Raw genomic sequence first — 21,813 nt, 5'->3', positions numbered from 1 at the left:
GAAGGCCTGGGAGGCTTAGGAGACCTCAGGAGCTGGCAACATGGAACCAGTTGCCCTCCTTGCAGGGGATGCCTATGCTTTGTGAACAGTCAGCAAGGTACTCTCAGACCACAGTCCAGACCTAGGGGCATTCCTGCTCTGCCCTCCATCCTGTCTGCTAAGGGCAGCCCTCTCTCCTTGCACACTCAGTTCAAAGCTCAGCTCCTCCAGGAGCCGATCCCGACTTCCTGCACCTGGAGCTTGCCCTTGGAGGACACCACTTGCATTTGTTCACTGGAACCGTGTCCTCCTCCCTTTGCAAGCCCATGCTGCTGACATGGGGCCATTCTCTGACTTCTCTCCCCAAAAGAGGGACACAGAAGCCAGACGTCAGAGTTACAAGGAGGTGGTCTGAGCCACCATCTAGTCTTGCTGATGATAAGCCTGAGGCCCAGCAGAAGAGGAGTCCCCAACACAGTCACGGGAAACCAGCCCTCAGACCAATGTTTGTTCCTTTTCTCCACATTCTCTCTGGGCTCTAAAGGGGCCTCCCTGGCTTACCCAGTCCTCAGCCAGGAGGCAGAGCCTCAACTCACCTGCCATGGAGGGGAGAGCAAGCCCAGAAAGGAAGCTCCCCGAGCTCAGCCCAACCCTAAGGGCAACAGAAGCTTCTTAGGGGAAGCAGAGCCACTCTGATGGACTGTGGCTTAGAAAGGAGGGCCCCTCCCAAGGAGTACCCAGACACCAGTGTTTGCCATAGGCTTCTCCTTCAGTTTAATACAGGGAGTGTCCCAGTGGCAGCAGTTTGTCTGTGAAAGCACACGGCATGCTCCTTCCACAGGGAGGGGTGCCCCTGGAGCCGGCCCGCCCGCTCCCGCTCACTTGCCTCCATTTTCTCTCAGAGGCACATTCTGTCCCTTGGCAAGTAGGATCATTGCCTCTTCTTGTTGGGGTGAGAGCCTGGGGCCCTTGTAGGACTCTCCTATCTCCCAGGGCTGGGTGGGGGTGAGTCATGAGTTGGCAGCGGGGACACTGAGTTGGCAAACACATCAATTGCTCCCTCTTGGAGCAGGATCCATGCCTGCCTGGGAGTAGGAGGCTGTGGTCTACTATCAGTCCCTCACCTGGACTTTTCAAGAAAAGACGAGAGGCCCGGCAGGCACTGCCGAAGGAACCCAGCTCATACACCTAGAAAGTGGCATTTGGAGCTGAGACACATGGTTTGGAAAGAGGGAGTTGGGTCTGTTTTAAGTTAGGGTAGTTACTCAGCAGAGCTACTTGTTGTGCATCAGTTTCCCTGTCTGTGAAGCTAAAGTAAATGAAGTCCTACCATCTTTTCATCCTGTTGCAAGGGCTAACTAACTGCTGTTTTCCTGGTGCCTGGAGTGCTCAGATGAAAGCAAAGAGGAAATTAAGAAGCTTTTATCCATCTGTAGGCTTGAAGCAAAAATCTGGGCTGGAGGAATTAACACTACCTCTGACCCTGGAGGGACCAGCACACAGACTTTAGCTCCCTGTAGCTACTCAGAGTCAGCTCTCAAGCCACATGCAACCCTAAGTGAGTCCTTGGCTGTGCTTTAGTCCAATTGCCTTGCTCCATAATTGAGAAAGCCAGGGTCTAGAGAGGTGAAGTCCACTCCAGATCCCTCAGTTTGTAGCAGCCCAGCTGAGACTGGAATCCACGCCTCCCACTGCTGATCTGGTATGTCACATCCATAAACTTCATACTGCTCTTTGAGACAGGAATTTTCATCCATTTCAGAGATAAGCAAGCTGAGGTTCAGCTAGATTAAGAACTTGACTAGAGTCACACAGCTAGTTAAGGAGCAGACTTGACTAAGAGTCACATGGCTAGTGAAGTTCCTGGCCAAAGTCCAGGGCTTATTCCTCCACTCCGGGCTGTCTCTGGGCATGGCCTCTGTTGACTGCGGATTGGTAAGGACAGTCTGTTTCTGCTGCTGCTAGGGTAGGAGTCCTACCGTGTTTCTCCCCGGCAGCCCCTCTGCAGTACCTGGCCCATGGCTCTGCCCTTGTGGACACTCGATTAGCATGGCTGTGACTGAGGGTGAACCACCAACCTGGGGAGCACTGTGCTTGGCTTTCCCATCCCCTGCTGGAGTGTGATGCAACCCCAGTCCTCTCATCTGTAACAGAGGCTTCATCCACATTTCTTCAGGTCTAGGGTGGCCAAGATCAGTTCTCCTTAGGGTAAGGGCCCCTAGCACATTGTCCACAAGACTCTGTCACAATGGGATCGTCAAATACAGACATATCAGTTAGGCAAGTACAACTGAGAAGAAGCTGGAAGAAAGATTTGCTAGTAAGTCCTGCGTTAAAGAGGAGAAATGGGGTCAATGAATAGGACAATGCCAAGACAAAGACAGAATTCTCCCTTGTTATATTCTGGGAGTTCTCACTCTTAGGCATGCCAGGCTGGATTTAACTGAGTGATTCAATGTGGCAGTCACCATGGTCACCCTGTTCCAGACCTCCCTCTGATGATGCCTCAGTGGTTTTCCTCTCTACTGATTAGATCCTGAGCAGGGTGGTGTAGGGCAATCTGCCACCTAAGAACTTTTTACTTGGTAGGACTCCCAGAAGAAGTGCTCAGGGTGCACTTCTTGATTTAAAAATAAGTAAACCCTTTGGAGCTGAAGATGATAGACAAAAGGAGTGTCATCTTAATCCAGAACCATTCCCTGGAAATCAAAATTGTCCACACGCCTCAGCTTCACTGAGGACAAACCCATGTGATCAAGGCCTGTTTTCAGCTTTGGAGTTGAAGGGCTGTGCCTTTCCATGGCTCCAGCTCTCTATTCCCCGCATCCTCGTCTTTGCTGACCCAGAGGAAGATATTCAAGGGACATATTACAAGGACAACTAAGATGGGACAAAAATCCTCCTTTTCTCACCAGAAATGCTGCAGCCTAAAGTAATTCTGCTGGGTCCCTAGCCTAGGAGAGGAGCACGTAAAGGAGTGTTGTTTTTATCACAGGAATGAGTGGGGAGACATAGTGACAGAGGGTTGCCAGATTTAACAAATAGATAGACGGGGCATGTAGTTATATTTGAATTTTACATAAACAGCAAATAATTTCTAAGTTAAGACATGTCTCAATTATTGTATTTTGTTGTATTTTATCTGGTAACCCTGCCCTGAAACCCATTAATGCTTATACCCAAGTGAACCCAGCCTCAGTCTAGGAAGGGAAAAACAGAGCTTCTCTCCTGCCTCTTTTGAGCTAGGCTGACTCCCCATGGTGAGAGTAGGCCTGGTTGGAGGGGATGGGAAGGGAGGAAATGGAGGGATTCAGACTCATGAGTGTCTTGCAGATCCCTAAACTTTAGTGTTTAGTGTTTAGTTGTAACGTTCAAATATTGAGATTGTGGAAACCCACAGAATGGCAGTCATAAGAAGTGCAAATGTCTGGGGTAATGAAAACAAACTCCACTAGGTTAGGAGTTACGAGGTCAGAGATCTAGTCCGCTGTACCAGTAACCAGCTGTGTGGCCTTCAAGGAGTAATTTCTCTTCTCTGGGCCTGCGTTTCCTCAACTGTAAAATGCAAACAGTGTTGGGCTCTAATATTCTACAGGTTTGGTGCTGAGAACCAGAAGAGCATAGCTGAGTATGCAGCTGAGAAACCAGGCAGCGAGGCTAAAACCTGCCCCATCTTTTGCTCCATCTCACCAGCTGCTTCCTCTCCCTGAGGTCTGTGGGGCTCTGAGGTTCCAACATTGTCCTCCAGCAGATCCTTCTGCCTGAAGGAGGAGGAGGCTGGGGTGGCCAGCAGAGAGCAGAACATGGACTGGGCCAATGACTTTCTTTGGAGCAGTCTTTTATTTTCCTTAAGCCCCTAGATGCTTTTTGTGTGTCACACTATCTTTGTTTTAAGTTTTATTTTATTATAAGAAAGTCTCTCTACATTCAATTTGTGATGTGAATAATCATAGATTATAAATAGTATGATGATTGTTTTTTAATTACAAGGCTATTATTGATATAGACTATAAGGTAAAACTATAAGGTACGACCATTGCTTTTTAAATATTTTTAGAGCCTTCTTTTTGGAATTGCCTACAGATCCTTTACATATTTAAATGAGATATGTATAGGAGGTGACAAAGCTTTGCTATTTGAGAATGGTTTGATATTTAGAACTAGAGCCAGATCTGAGGAGTGAGGTGCTCCAAGTGAGTAATATTGTTTCTGGTCAAACCCAGGTCATGACAATAAAGAAATGAGACTGGTTTTCTTGTCTGGCTCCTGAAATGATGCTGAAGACAGTTCTGAACTTTTAGGGGTTCTAGAAACATTCTGAGCAATGGCAGTATTGGTGTTATGCTCCAGTACAGAAACTAATGCCTTTATCTTATTTGTCTGTTGACCTCTGTGCTTCTAACTTGACTGCAGGTTCATTGAGGGCAAAGTCAGATTCTTTTCAACTGTGTTTCTGTAGCGCACCTCACTCACTGCTGTGCCCCAGCAATTGCTCAATACAAGTTGGCTGACCGAGTGAATATAAAGTATCTGCAGCAAATGATCCTTCATCAGCTCTCAGAAGCTCCTGAAAATATGCTGATGATGCTTGTGCAGACAAACTACACCCTCCTCCCCACCCTCCCTGCCTTCTGCTGCCATATTGGTTTCACCAGAGGGGAGGAATAACATCGTCCTGTGCCAGTTGTACCATCCATGGGAAAATCCCACGGACATAGGATTATCTCATGCCACAGATCTCTATTGCCTTTTCGCCTGCTCTCCTTCTCCTTATGTCTGGACCTCGTTTGGTTTTGCCCAGGTTTCATCTGATTATATGTCTGGCTCCAATATCAATTATTCCACTTCCTCCCTACTTGGCCTCCTCCCTCTGCCAAATCTTCATGTGTGCTCAGTTCTTCCCTCTTCCCACAGCCTCTCCTGAACTGAAAGGAGATGGGACGTGCCTCAGCAGCTACCCTGCCATGAGTCATGTCTGCAGTCCTGCCAGCGAGGGAGTAAGGAGGGTTGGGTCTTAGGGTGGGGAGAAGGAAAGAGATTTTCACTGGTTGTCAGGAAATGGGCACAGGGAGGGGTGAGGACAGTTTGGGAGCATTAAAAGCTAGTGAGATGACTGAGGACTGAGTTAATTAACCAGAAGTGAAATGTTCAACATGGGCCAAATGAAGATTTTTTTTTTTTCTTTAGAAACACCTTCCCCGAAAGAGTTCCTTTACAGTTCTTGGTTACAAATTTCCATGGTTACATTACCCATTTGATAATACTTCACAGTTAATGTCATCTGATATCAACCCGTGAGTGAAGTAGACACACGAGTATCATCATTCCCTTTTTATGGATGAGAAAACTGAGGCCCAGAGAAATTAAACTATCTAAAGTCACAGAGCCAGAGAGGGGCAGAACTAGGACTAGAACCTAAGCCTCCTAAGCTCTGAACTGGTAATGTCATTTAAGTAAAGACACGTACCATCTGTACTGTCAGCATAATCATCCATTCCGGCTGCTGGTGCAGTGATCTGCCTTCCTTGGGTTTCATCTAATCCCTTTATGCTGCATTCCTAAGCCATTTTCTCAATTTGGTCATCACCCTTTGTGTAAAAGCCCTTTTATTCACATCTGTGCTTGATCTGTCAGTTTACCGGGCTCAGTGTGCTGGGTTTATTTTGCACTAAGAGTGTCATTTGCCATCAAGAATCAGGAAAAAAGCGAGGGAAGTAAATTCACAGCAAATCTAGTTAATTGTCTCCTTTCATCCCCAAGCTGTAATATGTAAGAAAGACATAGCCTCCAAAATTAGCCCCCAAAAGAACTCAGGAATGGAAGAATCAAGCAAATGACAAAAGAACACCAAACTTATAAACTCCTCACCCTCTCCTCTCCCCAGGACCCAGGACCTTTGACAGTCAATCAGGAGTGATATCTGTGAGACATCTGTGTCTTAAAGCAAATGCTGCTTCATCCTAAGGCCCCACCAAGACAGAACCCCAGATTCCCACAGAGAAGCAGCCTTTAATCCCCATCTGACAATGTCTTGAGGGCCTTACAAAAGAATTCCCAAGAATAATGCAGGCTAATGTTGCATCAGCGAAAGTAAATGAAAGTCATAGAATTTGGAGGCTAGGAGAAACCTTGGGTGTCATCTAGCCCGGTACTCCTGACTTTAGAGCAGCAGAAAATTCCTGCACTGGCTGGTGTGGTTGTATCCTGAGCATCTACTGCAGTGCTTGTCACAGAATTAGGGCTCAATAAATATTTGTTCAGTAAATGGATAGATGAAGTATAGTGGATTGAGATCACTTAGAAAGCAGACAGAGCCAGGATTACAGGATCTAAAATAACCTCTATCCATGTTAATTTAACAAATAATCTTAAGAATTATTGTAATCTTTTTTCATGTACATTAGTTCATTTAATCCTGAAAATGACCCCAGAAGTTCTTTGTTATATCCACTTTCCATGTGAAGAAGCTGAGTCCCAAAGTTTGAAGTAACTTGCCCAAAGCCACATCTCAGTGAGTAGCAGAGTTAAAATTTGAACCCAAATGTGTCGGGTTGTCAGGGAGGCTCCACTCTAGCATGCAGTGTCATATGCAGGAGTCAATGCAGTGGACATGTTCTCTTGGCTCTTTGACCATAGGCACAGAACGAACAGAGATGACCCTTTAGGATTTTCCTAGAAACATCTAAACTGGTCCATTAATAGACCTCAAGAATGCAAACATTTCCCAAATCCATGATCAAATCAGACCTACTGGGAAATGGACTTGTTTTTAAATGCCTTTTAAAAATGCTTTTCCTAAAATATTATCATTTGAGACATTCAAAAATATCCAGTCAGCCCAAACGAGAGCCACCTATGAAACAATGGCCAAGTCAACAGACCTAGTCAGAGTTGATGAGCCTCAACTCACGGACCAAAGCCTACATCACTCTTTTTAGCAACTGGTGCCGGTTTTCTCCACTATAAACCTCAAACCATCCCCACAAGTACTCCAGGTCTTTTAGGATGGAAGCAGTTCCTTACCGGATATCCCCATGAGCCATTCCCTGCCTGGAACTTGGAGTAGTAGCTGCTCCTGCTGGTGGTCCCATAGTTGTAATTGTCAGCCAAGCCATCATACATGGAACCTAGAGGAGAAAGGAGGGGATTAGGACAGGGATGGCCATGATCTTCATCCACCCCTGTTCCTCAGGGCATCACTTCTGCATCCAGGTCCACTATGCCCATGGAGGAGACCAGGTCTGAGCTCCTGGAGGAGAAGGTGGGGAATGTCATCTCCATCTATCTCCACATCCTCCACAGCCGGGACCAAGGGAAGGGCTACCACAGACTCCTGCAGGGACAGCTCTAAAACTCTCATCTGTCCCCTTCCTGGGAGCCCAGTGGCTCCACTGCTGCTTGGGTAGGTTAACACCTACAGGTCAGGACTTGGTCTGGAGGGCCTTGGAGCACGGCCATTCCAGCCCAGGGAATCATCACTCCATGTTCCACAAGGATAAGATTCCCACTCAGGGGAGACAGGCAGGATTCCGACATTCCCAGTCCAGCAGCAACAGCTGATTAGAGATTGATTCAGGACAGGACTCTGGATTCAAATCTCAGCCCAGCCCCTACCAGTGACCAAACTTCCTCCCATTCTTTCACCTCTAACATGCTCTGGCTGGTGAAGGGGGAGCGGCGATCAACCTCAAAGGCCCAGTGAGGATTAATTAATGTTTTCGGAGTGCTTGGAGACCCACAAATGACAGGCTCCGCAGGAGGACAGAGTGTCATTAGGGTTATTAGTGGCAAAGTGGCTTTGCATCACAGAAAACAGAACTGGATTTGGGGCTCCTAGTGGGGCCACCCCCCTCATCTCCCTTTCACTGGCCAGCAGGGACACCCTAAGGGATAGCATCAACTCTGCACAAGCTGGTCTGTTCACTGTCCTGCTGTCCTTGAAATATGGCCAATGGTGACAGGCTCACCACTTTACTCACATCTCCCTCCATGCCAAACCTGCCTTCCCTCCTTGGCCACTACCTTCTAATCTTGCTCATCTTTTGAAGCCAAGCTCAAGACCTCACCCACTCCAGGAAGCCCTTTCTGATCAGTTCTGCACAAGGCAATCTCTCCTGCCTCTAAACACATACTGTCCTGCTCTTGGTAGCCCAAGTCTCATTCTGCCCTGCGTCCCATTCCCTCAGCTATACTGGGAGCTCCACGAAGAGCAAGCCATGGCTCCGTGGCCTGGCCCACACTCTTGTTAAGTGATGGCCTTGGGGGATGAAGGTGAGTGGGATCCAGTGAGAGCCTCCTAAGAGGGATATGCACTCCTTTTCTCTAAAGCGATGGTCAGACTCCCCCATCGGAAACCCTGTCTGTGGGGAAGAGAGTTGGGCAGTGATCTCACCCAGCCAAGGTAGCTCCTCCCCATCTGCCACACCCACTTAGGCTCCCCGGCCATTGCCTGGGGGAGCAGGGCTGGAATATCTGAGCTGGGAGTAGAGGGAATAGCCAAGGGGCAGCTTTGGAATGAGGCAGGGATCCCCACCTCGTGCCACCTCCCCTGTCCAGCGCCAGGTCACCACCCATAGCCCACAGCAGAGAGTGCTGCCCAACTCTCTGCACCCTTCCATCATGGACATTAGGGGTCTCAAGCTGTGGCAGACACAGCTTGCCCTGGGGGCCTAGCGGTGTTGATATTTGTCCTGGTTCTGGCACCTGGGCAAGTCACTTGCTCTCTCTGAGCCTCAGTGTCCTCTTCTGTCAAAAGAGAGGGTTGGCCTCTTACCTCCCATAGGCCCCGTACAGTTCCACTGCCCTGTGGTGGTGTGATGATAGTGACACGTGCCTGACTGCGTTCAGAGGAGCCGACTCCTCCTCTCCAGAGACACAGCTCAGCTTACAAGGAAGAAGGGCAGACATCAAAGGCCACACTACCGCCTCGTTTGCCACCTGCCTCAGGGTCCTCTGAGAGGCCTCCCCTATACTCCAGGCCTAGCCCTGACTCCAGAAGGGCCATCCGCCTATGAGCAACATCCTGGGACTCTGCCATGTGGCCCATTGAACCTCTGGCTTCCTCCAAGCTCCCTGTAGAGTGCACACAGCTCTTCCTCCACCTTTCTCCAGCAACCGCTCCTCTGGCAAGACTGTCCTTATCAGGAAGAGGCTGGAGGCAATCTCATGGGCTCAGTCACTCAGGACTGGTGCTCCCAAGGAAGGGGGCTGCAGCCAGGCACACTCATAGTCAGGACCCTAGGTGGCCAACCACCAGGTCTTGTCTGCCTCCCTTCCACCCAGCCCACTTTGATCATTCTTCCAAGGTTTGATAGGATAGAGTTCATTTGGATCTGGCCCTGTGAGCAGGTATTTCTCACCAAAGGTCAGGTGTGGGTCAGTCAGCTGCTTCTGGGTGGAAAATTTGGGGTGGTGACAGACAGAACTTTATGGAGCACCGGGGAGGCCTCCTGCTATGAGAAGCAGCCCCGGGGGGCTTGCACCAGGGCCTTCTTGCCCGTCTTCTGGGAGAGAACCTGTCAGCATGATGCTGCTCTCCCCATGGGTCATCAGACTAACCATCTCCTCCCGCCACACCCTGCACCTGCCTGCCTCCCTCTCATACACTCTTCTCTGTATGAAGGTAGAGGCCTCTCTGCCATGGAGGTGGCAGTGGACACACAGACACATGGAGGGAGAGGCCAGAATGCCCTGCAGTTCCCAAAGCCAGTCCCCATGTCCAGCATGAACTCTGGTAAAGGCAGGTGTGACTGTCACTCACTTGTGGCCTGCAGGCCCTTCCAGGCAGTTCCTGAAGGCATCTCCTAAGACCTATCTGTAGTTGGGGTCTGCTTGGCTCTGGTGAGAATGAGGGTAACATCACACCTGCCTGCACTGCTAATCTGGCAGAAGGTGACAGTATTTGGGGCGGAGGTGGTGAGAGAGGGGAAAAGTCCATAGTTGTCACACACCTGAAATCACAGCTCGCAGTGTGCCAGATAACCAAGGAGTACTGGGGGCAGGTGTGCTCTGTCTGTAAGAGCACTGCTCCCACAACAAAAGTGATTTTCCCTCTCTTGACCCTGGGGTGTCTGACTGGTAAGTAATGCCCTCTAAAAGTCAAGTTCAATAGCAAGAGCATGGGCTTCTAATGAGTGTAATGGTGCTAGCTCACTCTTCCACTTGGTCCCCGATGTCTCTAGAATGCACTTCTAGGAAGCCTTTCCTGATGAATGACGCCTACTCCCATCTCCATCTCACGCCCGTACAAGTCTCCACCACCATGTACTTTGGACACTCTCTGAAGTGCGAACCATGTCTTTCTTTCCCTGGGACCTTGAGTTCAGGGCATTGCCCCAGCTGGGTCTGGGCCTGACTGGCTTGAGCTGGCTCTTTGCGTCAATGACCTCTTCTCCCTTGCCCAACCCTTGTGGTGAACGTGCTCTGATGCCTGGTGCTTAGAGGCTTAGAATGGGGTCAGGCTCTCCTCCCACTCAAAGAGGTCCCTGGTGAGTGGGGTAAACCAGGAAGAGAGGAGGGCTGCTGCAGCTCTCAAATACCCAAGGCCACCTCCTTGAGGAGGATTCTTAGTTCCTGGGGAATGGGGGAGGGGCTAGTTCCCAGCTCACCCCACAGAATCACTCCTACCCTCCAGCTAAGCATCTGCTTTGCCCCTCTTCTCCCCATATGGGTGCATGCAGCATGAGCAGGGATGTGGTGGCTTCTCGGTGACACTGACAGTGTGCCCAACCTGTGTGCCATCCTCAGGAAGCATCTGCCCACCCACAGAACCCCAAGGTCAAGGAGCAAGTGCCTCAGAGCATCTGCCACTTTCCCAGGTATACAAGCAACACAACCTGCTCTGTCCACATAGCTCGTCTGATTTTACATCCGCGTTTTAGGGTGTAAAACCATCTCAGAAAATCTACCGCTCAGGTCACCAGTGTCCTGGCACACTGCTTCCCTTTGGTGCCTTAGACAACGACAGGCTGATTCTTTCTTGTGTCATCGGTGCAACTCAAGCTTTCTCGCCTCAAAACCTTTGAAACTGGAGGCAGCTCCTTCTTTAGGATGAGTGGAAATCTCTCTCCAGTAGGGGCAGGTGAGCCTTTGCAGGGATGACTCATCCTCTTCCACCTCCAAGCTTTCAAATAGGTCACACTTACTGCACCTGAAACATTCTTTCTCTTCTTCTCCAACCCTCCCCCTGCATTCAAAACCTTGCACAAAAATCAGCTTCTCCTAAAGATGACCGCACCCAGCTCTGAGCACTCCAAACTTGCCAGCATAACCATGTCAGCACTCAATCCAGCGGCTGACTCTGCACTGGCTTGTGGGCTCCTTGGAATGTGGCTTCTGTACACTGTGTGTGTGTGTGTGTGTGTGTGTGTGTGTGTGTGTGCACTCCTCCCAGAAGGTAGGGCCTGGGTCTCCCCAACCAAGCTGGGAGCTCCCTGAAGCAAGGAATCTTCACCTTTGGTAGATCCACACTCCACACCCCCAATCCCAGGCCCAGGTTCTACATAGAGAAGGCTCTCAGGACATCAGCCTTCCTGCAGACAGAGGTCATAGGGAAATCCGCTTTTTCCACTTTCCCTCCCCTCAAATCCTTCTCCTTCGTCACAGGGCAAGCTGCTCGGAACACATTCTTGCTTACTCTGTCTCCCTTAAGGCCGATGCTTCTTCTAGCATATTCTACTTTTGAATAAAGCCCACCTGTCCTTCAGCATGAAAAGCTTGAGAAAGGAAGCTCATTTTCTTTTAGTCTTGAAAATGCCTTTACTTCACCCTCTGAAATCTCTTTCACCCATGGTGCCCAGAAAAGCTAGGCCCACAGCAATAGGAATTTAAATGAGATAACAAGAACTGCCAGGAAGCTACTGCTGAGAGAATACCCTCAGAGGTGTTTCGGAGTGGGCAGGAGTGGACTGTGTCTGCGGGATGGTTCCAGCTCCTGGAGGGAGGACTGGGCTGGCCAGCCTCCTGCCCCCTCTGCTGGGCTGCTGGGAGCACCGTGGACATGCCTCCCCAACTCGGCAGCTTCTAGGAGATGGGGAGGGCAAGGAGTTCAGCACAGCCTCACCGGGCACTTTGGTGTGGCTCTTGACCTTTTCCTGGGTGTACGTACTGAACAGAAATGCTGAAACAAACTGGGTTGCTGTGGCCTGTGTTCTCTCTTCTCCCTCTCCAGCCCATGTGACTCCCTCAGGCTCTGCTGGGACGCGTTCAGACCTAGCTCTGCCACAATCCTGCTGCTCTTTCAGCAGATCTGTTCATGGCCACCACCAAGCCTGAGGACTGGGCAGAGCATGGGAGCATCCTGTGGGGACAGGATGGGCGTGAGGGGGCAGGGTGGTGGGTTAGAGTGGGCAAGGGTTGACGGGTTCAGGTGGGGTTCAGAGTCAAAGGCTCTCGCCAGCAACTACTACATTAAGTGTGCGTGTGTGTGTGTGTATGAGAGAAAGACATGGGTGTATGTCATTGTATAGGGGTGCTCCCCCATGCTGGATCTGTGTGAGTGAAGGACAGGGACTAGAACAGTGGTTCTCCAACTTGGCTACACATGAGAATCACCTGGGAGTTTCTGAAGTCCTGATGCCCGTGCCATCTTTCATACTCACTAAGTCAGAATCTCTGGGGGTGGGACTCACGCATTTGTGTTGTTTGAAATTTCCAGGTGATTCCAATATGTAGCCAAGTTTGAGAAGAGTGGATGAGAAGACTTTTTAATATGTTAGGATGTTTACGAGAGAGACACGATGAGTGGCATGCCTTAAGGGGAAGAGCTTTTTGGCAGAACAGCTGCTGGCGGTCTGGGCAAATGGTTTGCAGAGCTAGAGAGTTATAAAATCTATTTCCAAAGAGTGTTCCCATTGCAAAGCACTTTGGAGATGATCTAATCCAACCTCTGACAGCTGCAGAGACCCAAAGAGAGGCAGCGACTTGTCCAAGATCGCACACCAGGTAGATGCCAGGCTGGGCTCCTGACACAGCACAGCTGCAAGGACACACATGTACACACACATAACATAAGTGTGTGCATGTTATGTGTGTGTACGTGTGTGCATGTGTGGGTGTGTGGATTCATGTGTGGGGTGTATTGTGTATACATGCATATATGCATGTGTGACCTATGTGTGTATACATGTGTGCGCATGTGTCCAGCGTATGCCTAGAAGGAACTTCACATGAAGATATCTAACATTCGTCCATTTTATTTTGTTCAAACATTACACATCTTGTAAGGGTCACGGCCCATCGCAGAAGCGCTTCCCAGATTTCTAAACCTAGAACAATTGGCACAATGATACTTACAATGGTATGGGGTCGGGGGAGGAATTTGTACTTTTAAAAAATCTCTGTCAAGGAGCAGGATCCAGAGAAGCAGCATTTGCTGCAAAACACCCTAGAATACCCAGCATTTTTGCATGTGTTGTAACAGGCCAACGGAAATTCTGGCTAAAACTCCAACTTCAAGCCAAGGTACATTGTAAAGAAACAAGAATTGGTTCATTTGAAGTTTAATTGGTATGTTTCGCCAATGGAACAAGCTAAAGCACACATAGCCATTACCATCTGCAATCTCAGCTTCGGTCCCAAGAAAACAACCCCAGAAGTGATGCCTGTGGTCAGGAAAGGACAACTTTCTAGAAACTCTAATGAGCAGAACACTCGGGCAGAAGCTCATGCTGAGACATAGTCAAACACAAATACAAAAAGCCATCAAAGTGGGGGCTCCTGAGGCGAGCTCCTTCACTGTGCAGGCTGCGGAGTTCGTACAAGCATGCCCCCCTCTCCCCTGATGAGGGCTGAATAGACACAGGAACTACAGAAAGGGAGCAGGCACCTCCCCTGGCTCAATGTTGCCTCCAGCCCCTACCTCTGATCAGAGAGAAATAGAGGCTTAGCAATTTTAGATGGGAAACAGTACTTCTATGAAGAAGGGAGAAAGAGAATTTCAGGCCAAAGGCTGAAATAAAAAATCACAGATGGCTAAGCAGGCAGTGAGACAAAGCAGGCAATGGTGCTGGTGTTGTTAGGACTTCCCTGGAAGGAGACAGGACAGGTGAAAGGAAGCTCCTTTCACTGAGCTGGGTGTGATCTGTATTCACAGTGGCGGGGGAGCGCTTGGGTTAGGGCAAGTGAGATTCAGGTTCAGCTTTAGGAAGAGATTCCAAGTGAAGTTATAAAGATCTGGAAGGTGGATAAGTGTTTCCTTCCCCATCCTCAGGGAGGTCATTTCCCTGGCAAAGATCTTTTGCTGGGTGGTGACATCCCCCTCAGTTTCCCCTTGCCTTCCACACAGTCTGGGAAGAAAAGGAGGCCAGACACCCTGAGGCACACAGGGACAGCCTGAAAACACAGGGGAGCAATACTTCAGGGGCAGTTCAAGATGGGTAGGCAGGTTCAGAGCAACCTCCTTCTGCAAGGTCTCCAGGCCACAGAAGCCACCTTCTTCCTGCCCGGGGCCTTCATGACCAGGGCAAGGTGCTTGTCTGATCTGTGGCATTTCAGGGAGAGCATGAGTGCAGACAGGCATTTTGTGACAGGCTCCAGGGGCCCTTCCTCCAGTCCTCAGTGGCTCAATACTCCCTCAGTGACAAGAGAGAAAAGAGCACTAGTGGAGAGGAACTGAGAAGCCACTTCTATCACAGGACCAAGGATGGCTGGTCCTGACTGTCCTTCCTGGGGTACAAGGAGCAGTGGCTACTCTTCCAGGCAACCTGTGGGGTATGGTTGGCCCTTCTTAACTAGGGAAACTTTGGATGGGATTCAAGGGGCTCAAGAAGACCCTAGGTAAACTGACTCTGCTCTTGGAAGAGACTAAACAAGAACCTGAATCTGTCCAGGGGGCGAGGGAAAACGCCTGGGGCATGGTCCTTCCACAGCTACCAGCTCATTCCATTCCAGGAACCAAAGCAGGCTCCTGACAGGTAAACCAGCATAAGAAAGAGGGAGCAGAGTGAGTAGAGGTGGCCGCAGAGCAAATAGGGGACGTTTGGGTGTTTCTGATGGAGAAGACAAGGAAATCTGATGAAAACTAAGCCAGATAAACCAGAAACACCAGCTCCAAGTGACCAAACCGCCTCTTCCAGCAAGGATGCCTCTGCAGCCTCCTTTAGGAACCTCCGCAGAGTCTGAGGGTAGAGGGGACACGCCCACAGGGCTAGACCTTGGAGTTTCTGGAGAGGTAGCCATCAGCATCAACCCTCCCCCAGTGAAGCCCCCTGGGGGACCTTGGGAGGAAAAACAAAGAGGGAACAAAGGAGACCTTATCAGATAGAAGTTCCCCACAAAGACCAAGCCCAGAAAGTGCACTTCTTGCTGACAGACACTCAGCCAATATCCCGATAGGTAGGAGGAAAAAGGGGTCCTTGGGGCACCCAGGGCCGGTTTGAGTTTTCTGGAGTTGTGAGCCAAGAGCTCAGGCTGGGATGGAGTGGGAGTGGGAAGGGGACAGCCAAGTCTTGTGCAGAGAGGAGAGTAGGTTGAGCTGTGCTCTGGGCTGTAGCCAGAAATGGGGGCACTTTGTTATTCCAAACCTAATTCTAAAGAGGCTAGGAGGCACCTACCAAGGCACCAAATAAAAGGGAAGGAGGCAAGTGCTCTGGAGGTGGCATGATCTTGAGTGGAAATGTGACGAGAGGAGCCTGGAGCCCACACAAAGGCAAAGAGCACACAGAGAAGCAAAGGCCTTTAGGTCTGGGGCCCAGGAAGTCCTCTGCCGGCCATTTTCCTTCCCTCGGCTCTACAAGGGGCCACTCAGGAATGGGGGCTAGGGAGTAGGTGGGGGGACAGAAGCCACAGGTAGAAGGAAGTGTGAGGTGTGTGTGTGTGTGTGTGTGTGTGTGTGTGTGTGTGTGTGTGTGGTGGAAGGGCCAGGGTCGGTTTCTTTTGTCTCCTTCCACCTTATTACCCCCTGCCCCTCACTCTCTCCTAAGGCCTGTCTTAATACATAAGTCTTGGTTGACCTGTACTGTTTGGTAATGGGTAAAGTCTTATTAGCATTTTACTAAACTTAGCTAAATAAAATAAGTAAATAAATAAACAAGTGGAATCTTTGCTCACTTGTGTGTAATTCTTACCAGGCATCCTTTGTATCAAAGTGTTTACTTGGTCTATAAGCTCTCCCCTGTCAGGTACTGCCCCTTCCTCCTTGAGTTTCCTGGGTGCTGCCCCTTTCTCCCAGGTTCCCCCAGTCATGGGATCTGGCCTCTCAGAGGCTGGAGGAGGGGGTGCCAGGCCCGGGATCCAGCTTGGAAAAGTGCCCGTGAGGGTTCAGCTGGAGGTCTCCCTGGGGCCCGGGGGGATTTCCAACCTGCCATTCCGTACTCTCCCCATGAGACACTTGTTTCTACCTAAGCTGGGTGGGGTAAGAAGAATCCAGTGGGAAAGAGGATTTCTGCATTGGCTATTCGGGAAAGAAAGCATCCCTGACCCCCTTCCCTGTCGTCAAGGGACCCACTGGCCCTGGGGCGGCCTTCCAACTAGGCTAGCCTCTTTCAGGAGGCTCTCGATAAAGTGCCCTGGAGTTCCAGGCCCTCGTCCCTGCTCCCTGTGCCACTTTCCCGTCCCGCAGCGCCTCTCCTGAGCTGCACTCCTGTCTCAGCGACTCCCTCACCCCGCTCGCGGATACTCATGCGCGGCCCCACAGGGACTGGGGTTCCCCTTGGCCTGGACGCTGGGCATCGGCCTCCAGCTGAAGGCCAGGAGATCAAGCCCAGGAAGGGTGAAGGGTGGCCCACAACCGTTTGCGAGCGCGGGGACCATGGGCCCCAGGACAGCCGGGGCCAGACAGGATGCAGGGCAGATCCCTAGAGCAGCATCCGAAAGAGAAAGCCGTCCAGACCCAGGGCTCAGGGACAGGAGAACCGCTCGCGGGGGATCCTCAACCTCCTGGCACGCTGGGACATGCTCCTGGCTGTGTCCCGGTGAATCACCCATCCTTGCCCACTAGCGCGCCATCGAGCTCGCGGGGCCGTCGAGCCAGCCTCGGGTCGCGTTTACACCAGCTCAGAACCGGCTGGGAGCTCGGCTGCTCGCACTAGGTGCGTAGACCCTGCCTGGGGCCGGCAGCCCCTCGCCTCCCCTCATCCCCGGGGATGCGTGCGTCTCTTGGTCCCCGCCACTGGGCCAGGGTGCTCTGGAAAGGGGCGCACGGACCACGCGGGGGCCGAGCCTTTACCTCGATTGGAGTGGCTCAGGGTGGACGACTGGGAAGACTTGGACTTCTGCCGCTTGACGGTCATCATCACCTGCTCCTGCACGCGCTGCCTGCCAGACGTGCCTGTTTTCATCTTTTGGTCCGACGGCAAAGCCAACGTGGAGTTGTCCTGGTCCTGGAAGCATTCGTACGCCAAGGCGGTCTTGAGCGGCGAGTGGTTCATGGTGGCGGGAGGCGGGTGGCGCGCGGCCGGGGCCTAGGAGAGCAGAGAGGCGAGGCGAGGTGCGGTGCAGCGGGCGGGCAGGAGCGTGCTCTTCTCGCTCTCAGCGGCTCCCTACGGCCATAGAGTGCGTGGTCCGCGTGAGGGCTCCCTGCAGCTGCTCCTGGCGCTTCCACCCTGGTTCGTCCCTCTCTGGCACTGGCGAGGCCCGCCCTCCGTCAGACAGGATATACCACCCCTGCCCTGCACCACCCACTCCACCGGGCCGCGCGCTGCTGCTGCTCAGACGCGGAGCTGCAGGGCACTGCTGCTGCGGAGCCAGCGCTCTTGGGGGCAGGGCTGCGAGTCCCCTGTGTGGGACGCTGGGCGCCTTCCTGCTCGCTCTTTTTTTTCTCTCCCTTCCCTCTCCCCATGAGCAAGAAACGTCGCAAGCCTTGAGGCCCCAGGGAGACGCCCCTCTGTCCTGTTCTGCCGGCTCACTGAGAAAGCATGTGCTCAGCTCAGGAACCGAGGGAGACCTCTCTCTAGGAAAGAAAGGAGTCTTTCTTGACCAGGCTGCCCAGGAGAGCCAGGCGTCCATCTCCCTCTGTACTGAGGTCATAGCAGAGACCAACCCCGGCGGTGGAGGCTCCCGGGCTGATGGCAGAACCATAGCTCTTGCTCCAAAGGAGTGCTCCATCTTATGGGGGTAACCCAGTCTACTCTAAAGGAGCTTCCTCTGAAGAAAGTGGGGTAGGGGCAGTAAGGCCACATCAAGGAGCAGACTTGGGATATCAGACCACACAGTGGGTATGCCTTGGTAAAACCGGTGGTTATTTGTTGTTCATGAGTATACCCCGGTAAAACACCACGTGAACAGCGGATCCTCTCTGAAACTCCACTATAACCTCTAAAACAATGCCTGGCACACATAATATTAGGCGCTTAATAAAAAATATTTTAAATAGGTGAATACGTGAATGCTAGTTAATTTAAGGTAAATTAAATCTAACTCGGATCCTAACCAGATCCTCACTGAAAAATTGAAAAGCTGCTTTACCCTGAAATTTCACTCTGGACTTATTATTCTGGGACCACTGTGTGCATTCCCCTATATACACTCACCCCTGGGGACACATGTGCAGTGAAGCTTTATTCATGTAGCATCCTCTCCAGGCGTGGAGGGAGCCCACATCAGTGAATTTGGTGTGTAACAGGAGCTGAGTGTTTTTTTTTTTTTTTAAGTATTTACTTTGATGGAAATCTTTCTAAAAGGTATCGCATTCTGTTTGCCTCCTAAAGCAAACAACACTGAACATATTTGCTGTACTTCTTGATGCCCTGGGTTTCTCATTCTGGACATCCATTACTGAACTGTGTAGTCGTGCTGTCCGGTCAGTTTCTTAGTTTTGGGGCCTCCACCAGTGTGTGACACTATCACAGCCGTCACTCTTGCTGTCATTTGAGGCTGCCGCTCACAGCTCACATATTTTACTTTTAGTTTGCTCTTCTAATCTACAGAGGAAAGGACAATCAGAAATCTATTCTTTTTGGGAATTTTATGTCGAGGAAGGATCAAGAAGACTGAATGACTGTCTCAGGGACCATGTACATGAAGGTCACTCACGCAACTCCTGAGATGTGGGTGTTACATGCGGGGAGCCCCAGCTTTCCCAAGGAAGGTATTCCTAGTAGCAATTTGCAGAGCAGATTATTGTAAAGCAGATTATAGTTTCCAATAGAAACAGTTTTATTATTGAGGGCGCTGTTCCTAAGAACTTAACCTCAAGTAAACCAGAGATGTGATAAAAAATATGTCATAGATGTGTACAAAATACCTGTAAACCTCTATTATCACTTCATATTGTAAGATTCTGCCTCTAGCCATAGACCGCCAGGACTGGACAGAGCCTTGGACTTCATCCAGCCAAGCACTGCATTTCACTGATTAGGAGAGGAGGTAGCTTGCTTGCAATGCCCCAGTTAATATGTGGCAAAGCCTGCATCCTAACCAGGCCTTGTGACTCCTGGCACAGTGCTCATTCCACCACATCATCCAGCTTCCCTTATAAAAGTCCTATAAAATGGACATTAAAGTACAGTGCACACCGATTATATAAGGGCCCCAATGTACTGTAAAGTATACACAGCAGCATATAAAAATACAATTCTATTGTATCACACATTTGGCCTATCTAAAACCTAATATGCTAGCCATAATAAATGTTAATTACATCTTTAAATAACGATAATTTTCCTATTCTAGGATATAGAAGGGCCCTGAAGGAGGGGATTAGAGTAGCTCATCTTCCTATAAAAGGCAAGTCCGTGGAAGCAGAACTGATTATCTTTAAAATTGTTTCCAGGTATGAAGTTCAGTTTTTCTAGCTACTTCTCTACTATGTTAATATTGACATTATTTTGACATATTGATAGCAATAGCATTTACTATGCTCCTCCAAACACCATGCCTACCAACCAGGCATTGTTCTGAGCCCTGTACACGAACCACATCATTTAAATCCTTACAATGACCCTATGAGGTGGGCACCATCACCCTTCTTTTTCAGATGAGGTAACTGAAGTTCCATGAGGCCACCCAGCTGGCAACAGGCAGACAAGGCAACTGCAATCCAGAGCTGGACACTCAGTGGCAGTGCCAGGCTGCCGCCTCGAGATTTCTCTGTGACAAGCAGATCCTTCTCTGGATAGGTATTTTAACAGCATCCATTCCCATCACAGGGCACGAAAGTCAGGCCAGCTGGGTTCCTGATCTAGTTGTGTCACTAACTAGCTTCATGTTAGACAAGTGCCTTCCTCCGTCCCTTGCACCAATCTACAAAGAGAGCGGGTAAACTTCGTGGCTCCTAAACTCCACTCTAGCCCCAACATTCTATAATTCTGTCGATTGTGGGGATTTGTAGGGCAGGACATCTTGAATCAGGCCCTTCTGACAGAGGAGGAGAGGAAAGAGAAGTCAGGTTACACATTCTGGGCCACGGTGAGGGAGATATACTCAGGCTGGGAGGATTGGTTTGGGGCTCAGGTATATGGTTTTGAGCCAGCAGGCCAATGCTATTTCCATAATCTCTCTCTCTCTTCTGCCTGCCTGAGCCCCACCCTATGTGGGGCCTGTCTCAGAAATCAACCAGCAAGGAGGCTAACACTCCTAAAGTGAAGAAAAGATGTCAAGGAGGCACAGTCACATGATCCTGGCTCTGAAATGGCATGCTTTCAGGTGACTGTCAGAACATATATTTAGATGTTAAAATTCTAATGGATATGGGTTAATTTTGGCTTGGAAGGTGTTGGGGGTGATCAGGGGGAAGCATCCTGAAAGAAGTTAATTTTGACTTGATTCTGAAATAAGATGAGTATATTTTCATCCTCAAAGGAATGAGTATGAACGGGCTTCTAATTCTCTTTGCTGCCTCCTTAGAGCATTAAGTGTGACCCAGATTTCCCTTTCAACATTCTGGCTCCCAGACTTCACATCCTGTCATCTCTATGTTCATTAAAAAGTGAAATATGAGTTCATTTACTCAACAAGTATTGACTGAGCATCTGCTATGTGACAGACCTTGTCCCAGGTACTAAGGATACAATGGTGAGGAAGACAAAGTTCCTGCTCTTACAGAATTTACACTCTGTCACTCTCACTCTGTGCAGTGGTGTGTCTTGACTCACTGTAACCTCTGCCTCCCGGGTTCAAGCAATTCTCCTGCCTCAGCCTCCTGAGTAGCTGGGATTACAGGTGCGCACCACCATGCCAGGCTGATTTTTGTATTTTCAGTAGAGACAGGCTTTCACCATGTTGGTCAGGCTGTTCTCAAACTCTTGAACTCAAGTGATCCACCCACCTCGGCCTCCCAGAGTGATGGAATTACAGGCATGAGCCACTGTGCCTGGCCTAGAGCTTATTTTCTACAGGAGAGAAGGAGAAGGCTGGGCCAGGAGTGGGTGGGGGCTATCCCAAGGAAGGCTGAGAGGAGGTCTCTGGGGCTCCTGCTGCTTCTAAGAGTGTCTGGGCTGAATCTTCTCCCTTCTCAGTTTCCAGCCCCCCAGGTGAGGGGACCACCTCTAGCTGAGCCCCTCACTGACGCAAACACCGCAGGAGCGTGGAAGAGGTAGGTTTTCTTCCTGGATCCCTGGGCTTGCTGGGTGGCCCCATCTTATTCAGCCCAGTCCGTCTGCAACTGAACTTCCTGGACAGCGGCCACGGGGCCAGCTCCCTATTGTGAAAGCTTTTCTGGATGACATCCTTTGGCCAGTTAGCAGACTCCTCAATGGCTGCTCAACTCAGGAATCTTATAACCTTCCCTGATGAACTCGCACTGCCCCCTCCCTAGTCTCTAAATCGCCTCTGTCTTTTCTCCTGCATTATTTTGTTTTCATCCTAGCACTCACCCCATGCAGCCACCTGCCCCTTACCTTTGCATATTTGCTGTTCCCTCTGTGTGGAGCACTGTCAGTCAGTCACTTAAATACGTAC

The 21,813-nt window shown here is 50.3% G+C and overlaps 1 protein-coding gene across 2 annotated transcripts in view, besides 1 other annotated feature; it reads right to left on the bottom strand.

Moving 5' to 3' along the window:
* Positions 1-17,542, bottom strand: part of PKP1 (plakophilin 1) — a 49,484-nt gene extending 31,942 nt beyond the window's left edge. For both annotated transcript variants that reach the window (NM_000299.4, NM_001005337.3), the window contains exons 1-2: positions 17,144-17,542; positions 7,003-7,106 (exon numbers count right to left, since the gene is read on the bottom strand). In NM_000299.4, the coding sequence (NP_000290.2) occupies positions 7,003-7,106; positions 17,144-17,345 (306 nt within the window). In that variant the 5' untranslated portion in view covers positions 17,346-17,542. The remainder of the gene's footprint in view (positions 1-7,002; positions 7,107-17,143) is intronic.
* Positions 17,172-17,701: an enhancer, noted in NCBI's record as "H3K27ac-H3K4me1 hESC enhancer chr1:201252475-201253004 (GRCh37/hg19 assembly coordinates)". NCBI's record gives its function as "activates a minimal SCP1, AML or CMV promoter by ChIP-STARR-seq in primed H9 embryonic stem cells {active_cell/tissue: H9 hESC(primed)}" and the evidence as "EXISTENCE:reporter gene assay evidence [ECO:0000049][PMID:30033119]".

Source organism: Homo sapiens, chromosome 1, assembly GCF_000001405.40.
Source record: "Homo sapiens chromosome 1, GRCh38.p14 Primary Assembly".
In the NCBI taxonomy this organism is placed as follows: Eukaryota; Metazoa; Chordata; class Mammalia; order Primates; family Hominidae; genus Homo; species Homo sapiens.
This window is presented reverse-complemented; position numbering and strand designations above follow the sequence as displayed.